We start from the raw sequence: 14,674 nt of genomic DNA on the forward strand, positions 1-14,674 counted from the left end.
AAGATTAGTGGTTTGCCTTCAACTGAACAAAGTCATATTCTTCCACTGGATAAATTATTTTCTGGCATAAATTAGATGCATATTTGGAAACTCATATTAACTGTTTCAAAATAACATAGCCAGGAAATCATATACACTTTGGAGTTGCAATATTGTTGTACTAGATAGCGTTTACACTTATGAGCTGAAAGAATTCCATACTCATGGAATGCACAAAGTTTTGTTTACTGTTTCCAAAAAAAGTGACTTCTATGCCAATTTGTCAATTTATATTAGGTTTGGTGCAAAAGTAATTGCGGTTTTTGACAACGCAATTACTTTTGCACCAACCTAAAAGAAACCTAGCTAAACTAGAAAAATAGGTTTGTTCATTTGATTAACATAGATATATGCTCTAGAATCTAAATCTAAAATCCAACCTCTCTTTAGGATTTTTACCAATATTTGATGACAAACTACAGCTGTGGGGAATATAGCATTATCCCCACCACTGTGTTTACTGGTGAGCTAGTCCTCATTTGAAATATTTCTCTTCTTATCTCTCTTTCCTTAACTATCTCTTCCTTTCATCCTTTCCTTCCCTTGTCCCCCCAAAAAACAACTAAATTTTCTTAATCTAGTTGTTTCACAGACAAAATCTGTAGTCCCTAGAGTGTCTATGAGGTAGGTAAAGGGCTTATGTCCTTTGAGAAAACAGGGTCTTGGTGGAAGACTATGTTAACATCAGGCCCGAAGTGCCCTTGGGGGATAGTTACAGAAATTGGGTCTTACCTAGCTGACAACAGAGTCTGGAGAAAAGAACTACTTCCTGTATGCATTAAAGAGAACTTCACGACACCATTATCTTAAAATACTCTTCTAAGTATTTCGGACACACAGACAATTATTCATTCTTCCTTTCCTTCAACTAATTTTGTTTTACTTCCTACAATATGCCAAGCACCAATACAGGCATCAGAAATAAATGATGGACAACTCCAGAAAGATCCCTCACCTATGGGAATTTATAATCTGGTGGTGATATTTAAATAACAAAAAGTAAACTAATAAACAAGCTATCTCAAAGAGTAGTAAGTATTGTGAAGAAGGAAAATGTAGTGGAATAGGATAGTAACTAGCAAGGAATTTAAAGGGATAGAGGGATAGATAGAGGGATCCCAAGCAATCTTCCTGAGGGAGGGATACTTATGCTGAGGCTTGAAGAATGAGGAACAGCCAGGCTTGTAATGATCTGAGGAAAGAACAATGCAGGCACTCAGATAGGTGGAACAGCCAACTCAAGACTCTAAAGTCAGACCAAACCTAGCACATCAAGAGAGAACAGTGTTTGTAGGTCAAATTAAGTGAGGGAAGAAATGTGGAAAGAAACCAAGTTGGTGAATAGGTTTGGCCCATTTATGTAAGGTAAAAGGTAAAGGTTAAAAGTTTGGATTTTATTCCAAGAACAATGGCATGTCAGTAGAAGTTTTAGAAGAGGACACATTAATGATCTACTTTAATTTTGAAAGATCCCTCTGGCTGCTGTGTGGAGAACAGGATGAAAAGAGGCAGGCGTGGAAGCAGGAAGTCCAAGTGAGAGACAGCTGCAATTAGACACGATGGCTCGCACTCTGGGGAAAGAAGCAGAGATGAGAAGTTGACTCATTTCAGATAGTCAAGTGCTGAAGGATTGCAAGTGGGAGGTGATGGGCTGAGAAAAGAATTCTTTATTCCTAAAAGATGAGAGAATGCAAAATGAATTGTGAGTCAGAGAGAAGCCAAAGGCATTTTTTTTGTGGGGAGAAAGAATAGGGGCCAGGCACAGTGGCTCACGCCTGTAATCCCAACACTTTAGGAAGCCAAGGCGGGCAGATCACCTGAGGTCAAGAGTTCGAGACCAGCCTGACCAACATGGAGAAACCCCATTTCTGCTAAAAATACAAAATTAGCTGGGCGTCCTGGCACATGCCTGTAATCCCAGCTACTGGGGAGGCTGAGGCACTTGAACTCGGGAGGCGGAGGTTGCAGTGAGCTGAGATCGCGCCATTGCACTCCAGCCTGGGCAACAAGAGTGAAATGCCGTCTCAAAAAAAAAAAAAAAAAAGAATAGGTACAAAAATGGTCATATAATCTATGACTTCTCTATGAAATAATTCAATTCTAAAAGAAGGGTGCTTCCTTACACGTTCCACAGATGTGCATCCAACCCATGTATTGTTCTAATGAGATGAGTACAGATAGGCAGGTGAGCAAGGGCCATTCAAAACACGCCCAGGTGGCAACAGCAATAAGAGAGTATGATGGAAGAGGGACAAAATGAGTCCTTCCTCACTACTTAACCCAGTGACCTGAATTAGCAACCACCTCCCATCATGGGAAGCATTACACTGAGATGGCATCGTGGACAGAAAGAGGAAGTTAGGCAGTGGCAACAGAAACTACTTGCTCTGTTCATTAAAAGATAAACTGGAATGAAGCTGGAAACCATCATTCTCAGCAAACTATCGCAAGGACAAAAAACCAAACACCACGTGTTCTCACTCATAGGTGGGAATTGAACAATGAGAACACATGGACACAGGAAGGGGAACATCACACACCGGGGACTATTGTGGAGTGGGGGGAGGGGGAAGGGATAGCATTAGGAGATATACCTAATGTTAAATGACGAGTTAATGGGTGCAGCACACCACATGGCACACTTATACATATGTAACAAACCTGCATGTTGTGCACATGTACCCTAAAACTTAAAGTATAATAATAATAAAATTTAAAAAAAAAAGACAAACTGGAAAGGTTTGGAGATGAGGGTGCTCCACAAAAGATGAAGAGTATTAACTAGTTCCTGGTAGACATTTATAATAAAAGAAAAAAGGCATATGTAATACCTGCTTGATATCAGAGAAGGTCTTAGCATCAAATTAGACCACATGTGCTGCTTAGCATTTCAGATAGTGTTTGGCCCATGGTGCTTACAATTTCATGGATTGATGATTGATTGGATGGTGTGGAATCTAGGAAGTATATTTTTAGTACAGTCATTAGTTACAATAGAGCTAACCGTGTCCAGTAAAACCTTGTCTCAGACTCTAACAGCCTCTAAATGCCTTTGAAATTGTCCTTTTGGCTAAAGATGGAAAAAAAATCACAGATTTCAAGTCATAAACACACAGGTGGAGTGGAATGAAGTATCTGGAAATACCTTAACCTGGAAGTTAAGAGCAGTGGGTTTAGAAAAAAGGGAAATTGTCATCTAATACTGAGACTTCTGTGAAAGGTAACAATGAGGAGATTTTGTACATCCATTAATTTTATCTGCTCATACCAAACAACCTGGCAGGGGGTAGTTACTGTTAGCAGAAAGGGGTCCCGATCTAGACCCCAATATAGGGTTCTTGCATCTCACGCAAGAAAGAATTTGGGGCAAGTCCATAAAGTGAAAGCAAGTTTATTAAGAAAGCAAAGGAAGAAAGAATGGCTACTCCGTAGGCAGAGCAGCGGCATGGGCTGCTCAGCAGCTTATACTTATTTCTTGATTCTATGCTAGACAAAGGGTGGATTACTCATGAGTTTTCTGGGAAAGGGGCAGGCAATTCCCAAAACTGAAGTTCTTCCCCTTTTGGGACCATATAGGGTAACTGACATTGCCATGGCGCCTGTAAACTGTCATGCACTGGTGGGAATATCTTTTAGCAATCTAATACATTATAATTAGCATATAATGAGCAGTGAGAAGCCAGAGGTCACTCTTGTCACCATCTTGGTTTTGGAAGGTTTTGGCTGGCTTCTGTACCGCAACCTGTTTTATCAGCAAGGTCTTTATGACCTGTATCTTGTACCAACCTCCTATCTCATCCTGTGACTAAGAATGCCTAACCTCCTGGGAATGCAGCCTACTAGATCTCCACCTTATTTTACCAACCCCAATGCCTCTGACATTACTAATTCTCATGTTCCAGAAGAAGAAACTGAAGTTCAAGAAAGCTGTACAAAGCCCACAGCGCACATCTGGGAATGTCTAAGAATGACCCTCCCTGCCCCGCAGCAGCCACACCTTAGCCTGTGCTGTAAACATGCCGTACAGGTGTGGGGAGCACACACTACGGATGGCTGTTGTCTGACATTGTGGCAATTCCAAAAAAAGGCAAAAGCAGGAAAACACACTATTCAACTTTAAATAAGCCTCTTTGATTTTGCTGAATAATAAGTAGTTGTATGGAAATGCATTAAAATTAAACTTACCGGCAAGTAGATGTCATTAACAATATAATAGCCACCATGGCAATCCTAAAAAAAAGAAGCAGTGGCCACTTTTCTGTAGTCTGTAGACAGCAGTCAGCCAACAGTCACTGCCCTGGGCTGCCCTTGATGGCATTCAGAGTCATGCTTTTTGTTATTTTCCCACAAAAGGTTAGATCCCCGCTATGCATCATGTCCAGAAAAACCTTGTCAAACTCTCAAAGTCTCTAAATGCCTTTGAAATTGTCCTTTTGGTTAAAGATGGAAGAAAAAATCACAGATTCCAAGTTATAAATACACAGGAGAAGTGGAATTAAAATCTCATAAATAATATTACTGGCAATTAAAATTCTTTGTGACTTATACCCAGAATTCTCAGAGAGCTTCATGCACACACACACACACACACACACACACACACAGTGTCCAGGGTAATTTCATATTTACTCAAAAACTGTATGAGTATATGCCCAAATTCTAGGTAGAGGGGGAGTCATATATTCTAAAAATAGTGGAAATTTTAAAACTTGGAAACTATTTCAGCTCCAAGTTTAAAATATAAAAATATTTCCTAAACTTATTTTTTAAAAACACTTTATTTTGAAAAATTTCAAACATACACAAAAATTACAAAAGTAGTATAATCATACCCATACACCTTTCACCTGGATTCACTCATAGTTAACACTTTTCCCCATTTACTTTATCTCCTTCACCAAACATACATATATATTTTTTCTTGCTGAATCATTTGAGACTCACTGACGACATTATGACCCTTCGCAAGCACTTGAGCATGTATCTCCAAAGAGTTACAGTCTCTTAGCCCCCATACAATTACTAAATACAATTAACATTGAAAAATCATATTATTTAACATGAAGTCTATATTTATATTTCAGCAATCGTCTCAATTACATCCTTTATGCGGGGTGGCCGGGAGGAATGATGCTTTTCTTTTTTGTTTTTGTTTTTTTGAGATGGAATCTCACTCTGTCGCCCAGGCTGGAGTGCAGTGGTGCGAGCTCAGCTCACCGCAACCTCCACCTCCTGGGTTCAAGCGATTCTTCTGCCTCAGCCTCCCGAGTAGCTGGGACTACAGGCAGGCGCCACCATGGCTATATATATATATATATATATATATATATATTTTTTTTTTAGTAGAGACAGGGTTTCACCACATTGACCAGGCTGGTCTCGAACTCCTGACCTCGTGATTTGCCTGCCTCGGCCTCCCAAAGTGCTGGGATTACAGGCATGAATCACTGCGCCTGGCCCAGAATGATGCTTTTCTAATCCAGGCTCCAATCCAGGATCACACATTGCATTCAGCGGCCGCAGCTGTATAATCTTTTATCAGGAAACAATGACATTGTGAGATTTGAAGAATATGGACAAGTTGTTCCATAGAATATTCTTCAATTCAGGTGTGTCTGATGCAAGCATACTTGTATATACCTACAGTAGGCCTTTTGCAAACCCAAGACTGTTACAAAACTTACCATAAAAATACAGCAAGGAAAGAAAGCTACATGTTATGTTCAGGGACTGGTCTCCTGTTAAAGTGCCTCCTTAGATTTGCATCAATTTTTCTTTAAAATTATGACTCACAGGACTTCCTGCTTTTGTATCTGCCTTGTTCCTCTAATTGTTGTCAGCCAGTCTTCAAACAAAAACATCACATTTATCTATCCTGACTAACTTTCCAAGTCATTTCGAAAGCCATAACCCTAAACCCCACACCTTGCCTTCACCTTTTGGCAATCATTGCAGAGTTCCTTTACTTAATTTCAGTTCTTTTGCTCCTTTCCATAGTAGAGAGTCTGTATTGCTATTTTCATCAGTTCCTTCTGTATCAGTTAGAAAGGCATCATAGGTGCAACAAACAGAAGGACCAAGCAACAGTGACTTAAACAAATAAGAACTTAAGAATCTTTTTTTCACATAAAGTCCATATGGACAGTAAGAGGGGAACTACAGACACTGGGGCCTACTTGAGGGTGGAGGGTGGGAGGAGGGAGAGGAGCAGAAAAAAATAACTATTGGGTATTAGGTTTAGTAACTGGGTAACAAAATAATCTGAAAACAAACCCCCATGACATGAGTTTACTTATATAATAAACCTGAACATGTACCCCTGAACCTAAAATAAGTTTAACACACACACACCTGCACACACTCCAGAAGTAAGTGCTTGCTGGCATTGCGGCAGCTATTCAGCCATGCCCTGAGGCTCCTAGGTTCTTCCTACCTTTCCTGTTCCTCCATTCTTCAGGCACTGGTTTTTATGTTACATTGACTCCTAATAGATGGAAAGATGGCTACTGTCACTCCAGACATCAAGTTCATGTTCAAAGCAGGAAGAAGGGGAAGAGTGATGTAAAGCTGGATTTTCCTCCAGTTACCAGGAAAGCAATGGCTTTTCCAAAAATTTCCCAAGAAGATTTCTAGTTTTTAGGTCTCATGGTCAGAATTGGGTCACACAGTCCCACCTCGCTGCCAAGGAAACAGGGAAAGCCAGAAACAGGAGTCACCTTATTGCTTGGGGCAGTCACCTCATCTAATGGTGCAGAACACAGTGTCTCCACAAACAAGATGGGGATTGTGTTAACAGAGGAAAATGGGAAATAGAGAATCGGTAGCAACCAACAGTTTCCCTGAGCCCTCCCAGTCAGTATTTATATTTATTTATTCCCCACTTCTCTATTCCATTTCATATTTCTTCTCAGTTTTTCTTCATTTATCTTCTCTCCCTAGTACTTCCTCCTGAAGAATGAACTTTCAAACTTTTTTATTAACACTCCATCTCCCACCTAGAATCAAATAGTATTACAACAGCTGGTACTGCCTCTTCCTTCGACACAGAAGAAAACCTAAAATCCAGTAAGACAGAGTGGCATGCCAAATTTGCCCATCAATTTATTGGCACATTCAAGAATAAAGCAAAACTCTACTGAATATCGATATAGTAGTATCTGCCTCTGAGGATTCTTGGTGCATATTTTTGCATTCTGCCATGTTTCGTCCATTTTGCCCCTACCTTGGGCATTTAAATATAAAGATTCCCATGAGATCGGATCAATTCAGCTGTTTATTTCTAGAAATGTCTATAAAGAGAAGAACTAACAAGAGAACCATCTTTTTATTTTTTTAATTTACTTCCTAAATATAAATGAAGGAGAATCTAGAACCACTGTCTTCATTGGAAATCATTGTTCCAAATGAACCGCAAGTCTGAGTTTATAAAGCTGCCATCTCCAATATGTCTGTTGAGAAATATGTCTATTTACATACATCATGTTTGTTTCTGACCTTGTGGGACAATAACTTGGAATGCCCTGAGCAACAAAAACATAAAACACTCTGATGAGACAGCATCTCATCCTTGCACTGAAGGATTTCAAAAGAGGGACAGATCACCCAGAATGGACATGGTCATAGAGGAAGTAAGTTAGAAGCTATAATTGACCTTCATCTTTTTTTTTTTAATTTTATTTTATTATTATACTTTAAGTTTTAGGGTACATGTGCACAATGTGCAGGTTTGTTACATATGTATACATGTGCCATGTTGGTGTGCTGCACCCATTAACTTGTCATTTACATTAGGTATATACCCTAATGCTATCCCTCCCCCTACCCCTACCCCCCAACAGTCCCTGGAGTGTGATGTTCCCCTTCCTGTGTCCAAGTGTTCTTATTGTTCAATTCCCACCTATGAGTGAGAACATGAGGTGTTTGGTTTTTTGTCCTTGCAATAGTTTGCTGAGAATGATGGTTTCCAGTTTCATCCATGTCCCTAAAAAGGACATGAACTCTTCATTTTTTATGGCTGCATAGTATTCCATGGTGTATATGTGCCACATTTTCTTAATCCAATCTATCATTGATGGACATTTGGGTTGATTCCAAGTCCTTGCTATTGTGAATAGTGCCGCAATAAACATACATGTGCATGTGTCTTCATAGCAGCATGATTTATAATCCTTTGGGTATATACCCAGTAATGGGATGGCTGGGTCAAATGGTATTTCTAGTTCTAGATCCCTGAGGAATCGCCACACTGACTTCCACAATGGTTGAACTAGTTTACAGTCCCACCAACAGTGTAAAAGTGTTCCTATTTCTCCACATCCTCTCCAGCACCTGTTGTTTCCTGACTTTTTAATGATTGCCATTCTAACTGGTGTGAGATGGTATCTCATTGTGGTTTTGATTTGCATTTCTCTGATGGCCAGTGATGATGAGCATTTTTTCATGTGTTTTTTTGGCTGCATAAATGTCTTCTTTTGAGAAGTGTCTGTTCATATCCTTCGCCCACTTTTTGATGGGGTTGTTTGTTTTTTTCTTGTAAATTTGTTTGACTTCATTGTAGATTCTGGATATTAGCCCTTTGTCAGATAGGTAGGTTGCTAAAATTTTCTCCCATTTTGTAGGTTGTCTGTTCACTCTGATGGTAGTTTCTTTTGCTGTGCAGAAGCTCTTTAGTTTAATTATATCCTGTTTGTCAATTTTGTCTTTTGTTGCCATTGTTTTTGGTGTTTTAGACATGAAGTCCTTGCCCATGCCTATGTCCTGAATGGTATTGCCTAGGTTTTCTTCTAGGGCTTTTATGGTTTTAGGTCTAACATGTAAGTCTTTAATTCATCTTGAATTAATTTTTGTATAGGGTGTAAGGAAGGGATCCAGTTTCAGCTTTCTACATATGGCTAGCCAGTTTTCCCAGCACCATTTGTTAAATAGGGAATCCTTTCCCCATTGCTTGTTTTTGTCAGGTTTGTCAAAGATCAGATGGCTGTAGATATGCGGCATTATTTCTGAGGGCTCTGTTCTGTTCCATTGATCTATATCTCTGTTTTGGTACCAGTGCCATGCTGTTTTGGTTACTGTAGCCTTGTAGTATAGTTTGAAGTCAGGTAGCGTGATGCCTCCAGCTTTGTTCTTTTGGCTTAGGATTGACTTGGCAATGTGGGCTCTTTTTTCGTTCCATATGAACTTTAAAGTAGTTTTTTCCAATTCTGTGAAGAAAGTCATTGGTAGCTTGATGGGGATGGGATTGAATCTATAAATTACCTTGGGCAGTATGGCCATTTTCACGATATTGATTCTTCCTATCCATGAGCATGGAATGTTCTTCCATTTGTTTGTATCCTCTTTTATTTCATTGAGCAGTGGTTTGTAGTTCTCCTTGAAGAGGTCCTTCACATCCCTTGTAAGTTGGATTCCTAGGTATTTTATTCTCTTTGAAGCAATTGTGAATGGGAGTTCATTCATGATTTGGCTCTCTGTTTGTCTGTTATTGGTGTATAAGAATGCTTGGGATTTTCATACATTGATTTTGTATCCCGAGACTTTTCTGAAGTTGCTTATCAGCTTAAAGAGATTTTGGGCTGAGACAATGGGGTTTTCTAGGTATATAATCATGTCATCTGCAAACAGGGACAATTTGACTTCCTCTTTTCCTAATTGAATGCCCTTTATTTCCTTCTCCTGCCTAATTGCCCTGGCCAGAACTTCCAACACTATGTTGAATAGGAATGGTGAGAGAGGGCATCCCTGTCTTGTGCCAGTTTTCAAAGGGAATGCTTCCAGTTTTTGTCTATTCAGTATGATATTGGCTGTGGGTTTGTCATAGATAGCTCTTATTATTTTGAGATACATCCCATCGATACCTAATTTATTGAGAGTTTTTAGCATGAAGGGTTGTTGAATTTTGTCAAAGGCCTTTTCTGCATCTATTGAGATAATCATGGTTTTTGTCTTTGGTTCTGTTTATATGCTGGATTACGTTTATTGATTTCCATATGTTGAACCAGCCTTGCATCCCAGGGATGAAGCCCACTTGATCATGGTGGATAAGCTTTTTGATGTACTGCTGGATTCGGTTTGCCAGTATTTTATTGAGGATTTTTGCATCAATGTTCATCAAGGATGTTGGTCTAAAATTCTCTTTTTTGGTTGTGTCTCTGCCCGGCTTTGGTATCAGGATGATGCTGGCCTCATAAAATGAGTTAGGGAGGATTCCCTCTTTTTCTATTGATTGGAATAGTTTCAGAAGGAATGGTACCAGTTCCTCCTTGTACCTCTGGTAGAATTCGGCTGTGAATCCATCTGGTCCTGGACTCTTTTTGGTTGGTAAGCTATTGATTATTGCCACAATTTCAAAGTCTGTTATTGGTCTATTTAGAGATTCAACTTCTTCCTGGTTTAGTCTTGGGGGGGTGTATGTTTTGAGGAATTTATCCATTTCTTCTAGATTTTCTAGTTTATTTGTGTAGAGGTGTTTGTAGTATTCTCTGATGGTAGTTTGTATTTCTGTGGGATCGGTGGTGATATGCCCTTTATCATTTTTTATTGCATCTATTTGATTCTTCTGTCTTTTCTTCTTTATTACTCTTGCTAGCTGTCTATCAATTTTGTTGATCCTTTCAAAAAACGAGCTCCTGGATTCATTAAATTTTTGAAGGGTTTTTTGTGTCTCTATTTCCTTCAGTTCTGCTCTGACTTTAGTTATTTCTTGCTTCCTGCTAGCTTTTGAATGTGTTTTCTCTTGCTTTTCTAGTTATTTTAATTGTGACGTTAGGGTGTCAATTTTGGATCTTTCCTGCTTTCTCTGGTGGGCATTTAGTGCTATAAATTTCCCTCTACACACTGCTTTGAATGCATCCCAGAGATTCTGGTATGTTGTGTCTTTGTTCTCGTTGGTTTCAAAGAACATCTTTATTTCTGCCTTCATTTCATTATGTACCCAATAGTCATTCAGGAGCAAGTTGTTCAGTTTCCATGTAGTTGAGCAGTTTTGAGTGAGTTTCTTAGTCCTGAGTTCTAGTTTGATCGCACTGTGGTCTGAGAGACAGTTTGTTATAATTTCTGTTCTTTTACAATTGCTGAGGAGTGCTTTACTTCCAACTATGTGGTCAATTTTGGAATAGCTGTGGTGTGGTGCTGAAAAAAATGTATATTCTGTTGATTTGGGGTGGAAAGTTCTGTAGATATCTATTAGGTCTGCTGGGTGCAGAGCTGAGTTCAATTCCTGGGTATCCTTGTTAACTTTCTGTCTCGTTGATCTGTCTAATGTTGACAGTGGGGTGTTAAAGTCTCCCATTATTATTATGTGGGAGCCTAAGTCTCTTTGTAGGTCACTAAGGACTTGCTTTATGAATCTGGGTGCTCCTGTATTGGGTGCACATATATTTAGGATAGTTAGCTCTTATTGTTGAATTGATCCCTTTACCATTATGTAATGGCCTTCTTTGTCTCTTTTGATCTTTGTTGGTTTAAAGTCTGTTTTATCAGAGACTAGGATTGCAACCCCTGCCTTTTTTTGGTTTCCATTTGCTTGGTAGATCTTCCTCCATCCCTTTATTGTGAGCCTATGTGTGTCTCTGCATGTGAGATGGGTTTCCTGAATACAGCACACTGATGGGTCTGGACTCTTTATCCAATTTGCCAGTCTGTGTCTTTTAATTGGAGCATTTAGCCCATTTACATTTAAAGTTAATATTGTTATGTGTGTGTTTGGTCCTGTCATTATGATGTTAGCTGGTTATTTTGCTCGTTAGTTGATGCAGTTTCTTCCTAGCCTTGATGGTCTTTACATTTTGGCATGGTTTTGCAGTGGCTGGTACTGGTTGTTCCTTTCCTTGTTTAGTGCTTCCTTCAGGAGCTCTTTTAGGGCAGGCCTGGTGGTGACAAAATCTCTCAACATTTGCTTGTCTGTAAAGGATTTTATTTATCCTTCACTTTTGAAGCTTAGTTTAGCTGGATATGAAATTCTGGGTTGAAAATTCTTTTCTCTAAGAATGTTGAAGATTGGCCCCCACTCTCTTCTGGCTTGTAGAGTTTCTGCCGAGAGATCAGCTGTTAGTCTCATGAGCTTCCCTTTGTGGGTAACCCGACCTTTCTCTCTGGCTGCCCTTAACATTTTTTCCTTCATTTCAACTTTGGTGAATCTGAAAATTATGAGTCTTGGAGTTGCTCTTCTCGAGGAGTATCTTTGTGGCGTTCTCTGTATTTCCTGAATCTGAATGTTGGCCTGCCTTGCTAGATTGGGGAAGTTCTCCTGGATAATATCCTGCAGAGTGTTTTCCAACTTGGTTCCATTCTCCCCATCACTTTCAGGTACACCAATCAGACGTAGATTTGGTCTTTTCACATAGTCCCATATTTCTTGGAGGCTTTGTTCGTTTCTTTTTATTCTTTTTTCTCTAAACTTCCCTTCTCGCTTCATTTCATTCATTTCATCTTCCATCACTGATACCCTTTCTTCCAGTTGATCGCATCGGCTCCTGAGGCTTCTGCATTCTTCACGTAGTTCTCGAGCCTTGGCTTTCAGCTCAATCAGCTCCTTTAAGGACTTCTCTGTGTTGGTTATTCTAGTTATCCATTCATCTAATTTTTTTTCAAAGTTTTTAACTTCTTTGCCATTGATTTGAATTTCCTCCTGTAGTTTGGAGTAGTCTGATCGTCTGAAGCCTTCTTCTCTCAGCTCGTCAAACTCATTTTCCGTCCGGCTTTGTTCCGTTGCTAGTGAGGAGCTGCGTTCCTTTGGAGGAGGAGAGGCGCTCTGCTTTTTAGAGTTTCCAGTTTTTCTGCTCTGTTTTTTCCCCATCTTTGTGGTTTTATCTACTTTTGGTCTTTGATGATGGTGATGTACAGAGGGTTTTTGGTGTGGATGTCCTTTCTGTTTGTTAGTTTTCCTTCTAACAGACAGGACCCTCAGCTGCAGGTCTGTTGGAGTTTGCTAGAGGTCCACTCCAGACCCTGTTTGCCTGGGTATCAGCAGCAGTGGCTGTAGAACAGCGGATCTTGGTGAACTGCAAATGCTGCTGCCTGATTGTTCCTCTGGAAGTTTTGTCTCAGAGGAGTACCCGGCCGTGTGAGGTGTCAGTCTGCCCCTACTGGGGGGGTGCCTCCCAGTTAGGCTGCTTGGGGGTCAGGGACCCACTTGAGGAGGCAGTCTGCCCATTCTCAGATCTCCAGCTGCATGCTGGGAGAACCACTACTCTCTTCAAAGCTGTCAGACAGGGATATTTAAGCCTGCAGAGGTTACTGCTGTCTTTTTGTTTGTCTGTGCCCTGCCCCCAGAGGTGGAGCCTACAGAGGCAGGCAGGCCTCCTTGAGCTGTGGTGGGCTCCACCCAGTTCAAGCTTCCCAGCTGCTTTGTTTACCTAATCAAGCCTGGGCAATGGCAGGAGGCCCTCCCCCAGCCTCTCTGCTGCCTTGCAGTTTGATCTCAGACTGCTGTGCTAGCAATCAGCGAGACTCCGTGGGCATAGGACCCTCCGAGCCATGTGTGGGATATAATCTCCTGGTGTGCCATTTTTTAAGCCCGTTGGAAAAGCACAGTATTAGGGTAGAAGTGATCCAATTTTCCAGGTGCTGTCTGTCACCGCTTTCTTTGACTAGGAAAGGGAACTCCCTGACTCCTTGCACTTCCCGTGTGAGGCAATGCCTCGCCCTGCTTCGGCTCACACCTGGTGCGCTGCACCCAGTGACCTGCACCCACTGTCTGGCACTCCCTAGTGAGATGAACCCGGTACCTCAGATGGAAATGCAGAAATCACCCATCTTCTGCATTGCTCAGGCTGGGAGCTGTAGACCGGAGCTGTTCCTATTCAGCCATCTTGGCTCCACCCCTGACCTTGATCTTAAAGGGTAAGATCTAAATAGGTGAAAAAGAAGATATTCAGGAACACTGCCATGAGTCCAAAAAAGGGAGGTAGAAACATCAATAACCTTTCAGGGCTCATAAGCTAGTCTATATGGGGAATTAGTAAAGGCACATTGGTTAAGAACACGTGTTCTGGAATCAGACGGATCTGCATCTGAATCCCATTTCCACCACTTACTGGTTCCATGATATCCAAGCAATTTATTCCTCTATGCTTTAGCTTCCTAAACTATAAAATCATGATAATATTAGAACTTATTTAATGGAGTTTTATGAAGATAAAGTGAAACAAGGCATGCAAAGTGCTTAGCCTGGTACCTAAAACATATTAAATGCTCTAAAACATGAAGAAAAAAAAAAGCAACTACTGACCAACATGAAAGGAGTCAATGTAACGGACTATTAAGTTTTAAAACTGGGTTGTGGACCTAAGTGTCCATCAACAGATGATGGATAATGAAAATGTGGTATATATACATAATGGGATATTATTCAGCCTTTTAAAGGAAAGAAACTCTGGCATTTGTGACAACATGGATGAACCTAGACAGCATTATGCTATGTGAAATAAGCCAGGCACAGAGAGACAACTACTGCAAGATCCTTTTTATATGTAGGATGTGAAGTAGCCAAACTCATAGAAGTAGAGAGTCGAGTGGGGAGTACCAGGGTCTGGGGAAAAATGGAGAGATGTTGGCCAAAAAATGTGAGGTTTCTTACACTTCTCTTTGTTGAAGGACCAAGCAAGTGACTGAAACAAATAAGAATTAAAAAATCAGT

At 40.4% G+C, this 14,674-nt stretch overlaps 1 protein-coding gene and 1 long non-coding RNA gene across 24 annotated transcripts in view, besides 1 other annotated feature; one reads left to right on the forward strand and one right to left on the reverse strand.

The window, feature by feature from the left end:
- The window catches only part of RXFP1-AS1 (RXFP1 antisense RNA 1), a 75,659-nt gene that overhangs the window by 47,729 nt on the left and 13,256 nt on the right, over positions 1–14,674 (reverse strand). The window lies entirely within an intron of this gene.
- Positions 1–14,674, forward strand: part of RXFP1 (relaxin family peptide receptor 1) — a 131,659-nt gene that overhangs the window by 15,026 nt on the left and 101,959 nt on the right. Inside the window, exon 2 of one of the 23 annotated variants that reach the window (NR_045579.2) lies at positions 6,979–7,667. The exons of the other annotated variants lie outside the window; for them this stretch is intronic. The gene's annotated coding sequence lies outside the window, so the exon portion shown is untranslated. The remainder of the gene's footprint in view (positions 1–6,978; positions 7,668–14,674) is intronic. 23 annotated transcript variants of the gene reach the window in all.
- Positions 3,396–4,595: an enhancer, noted in NCBI's record as "P300/CBP strongly-dependent group 1 enhancer chr4:159461287-159462486 (GRCh37/hg19 assembly coordinates)". NCBI's record gives its function as "activates an origin of replication core promoter dependent on BRD2, BRD4, P300/CBP, MED14 and CDK7 cofactors, with strong dependence on P300/CBP, by STARR-seq in HCT116 cells {active_cell/tissue: HCT116}" and the evidence as "EXISTENCE:reporter gene assay evidence [ECO:0000049][PMID:35650434]".

The sequence above is a fragment of the Homo sapiens genome, chromosome 4, assembly GCF_000001405.40.
Source record: "Homo sapiens chromosome 4, GRCh38.p14 Primary Assembly".
Lineage (NCBI taxonomy): Eukaryota > Metazoa > Chordata > Mammalia > Primates > Hominidae > Homo > Homo sapiens.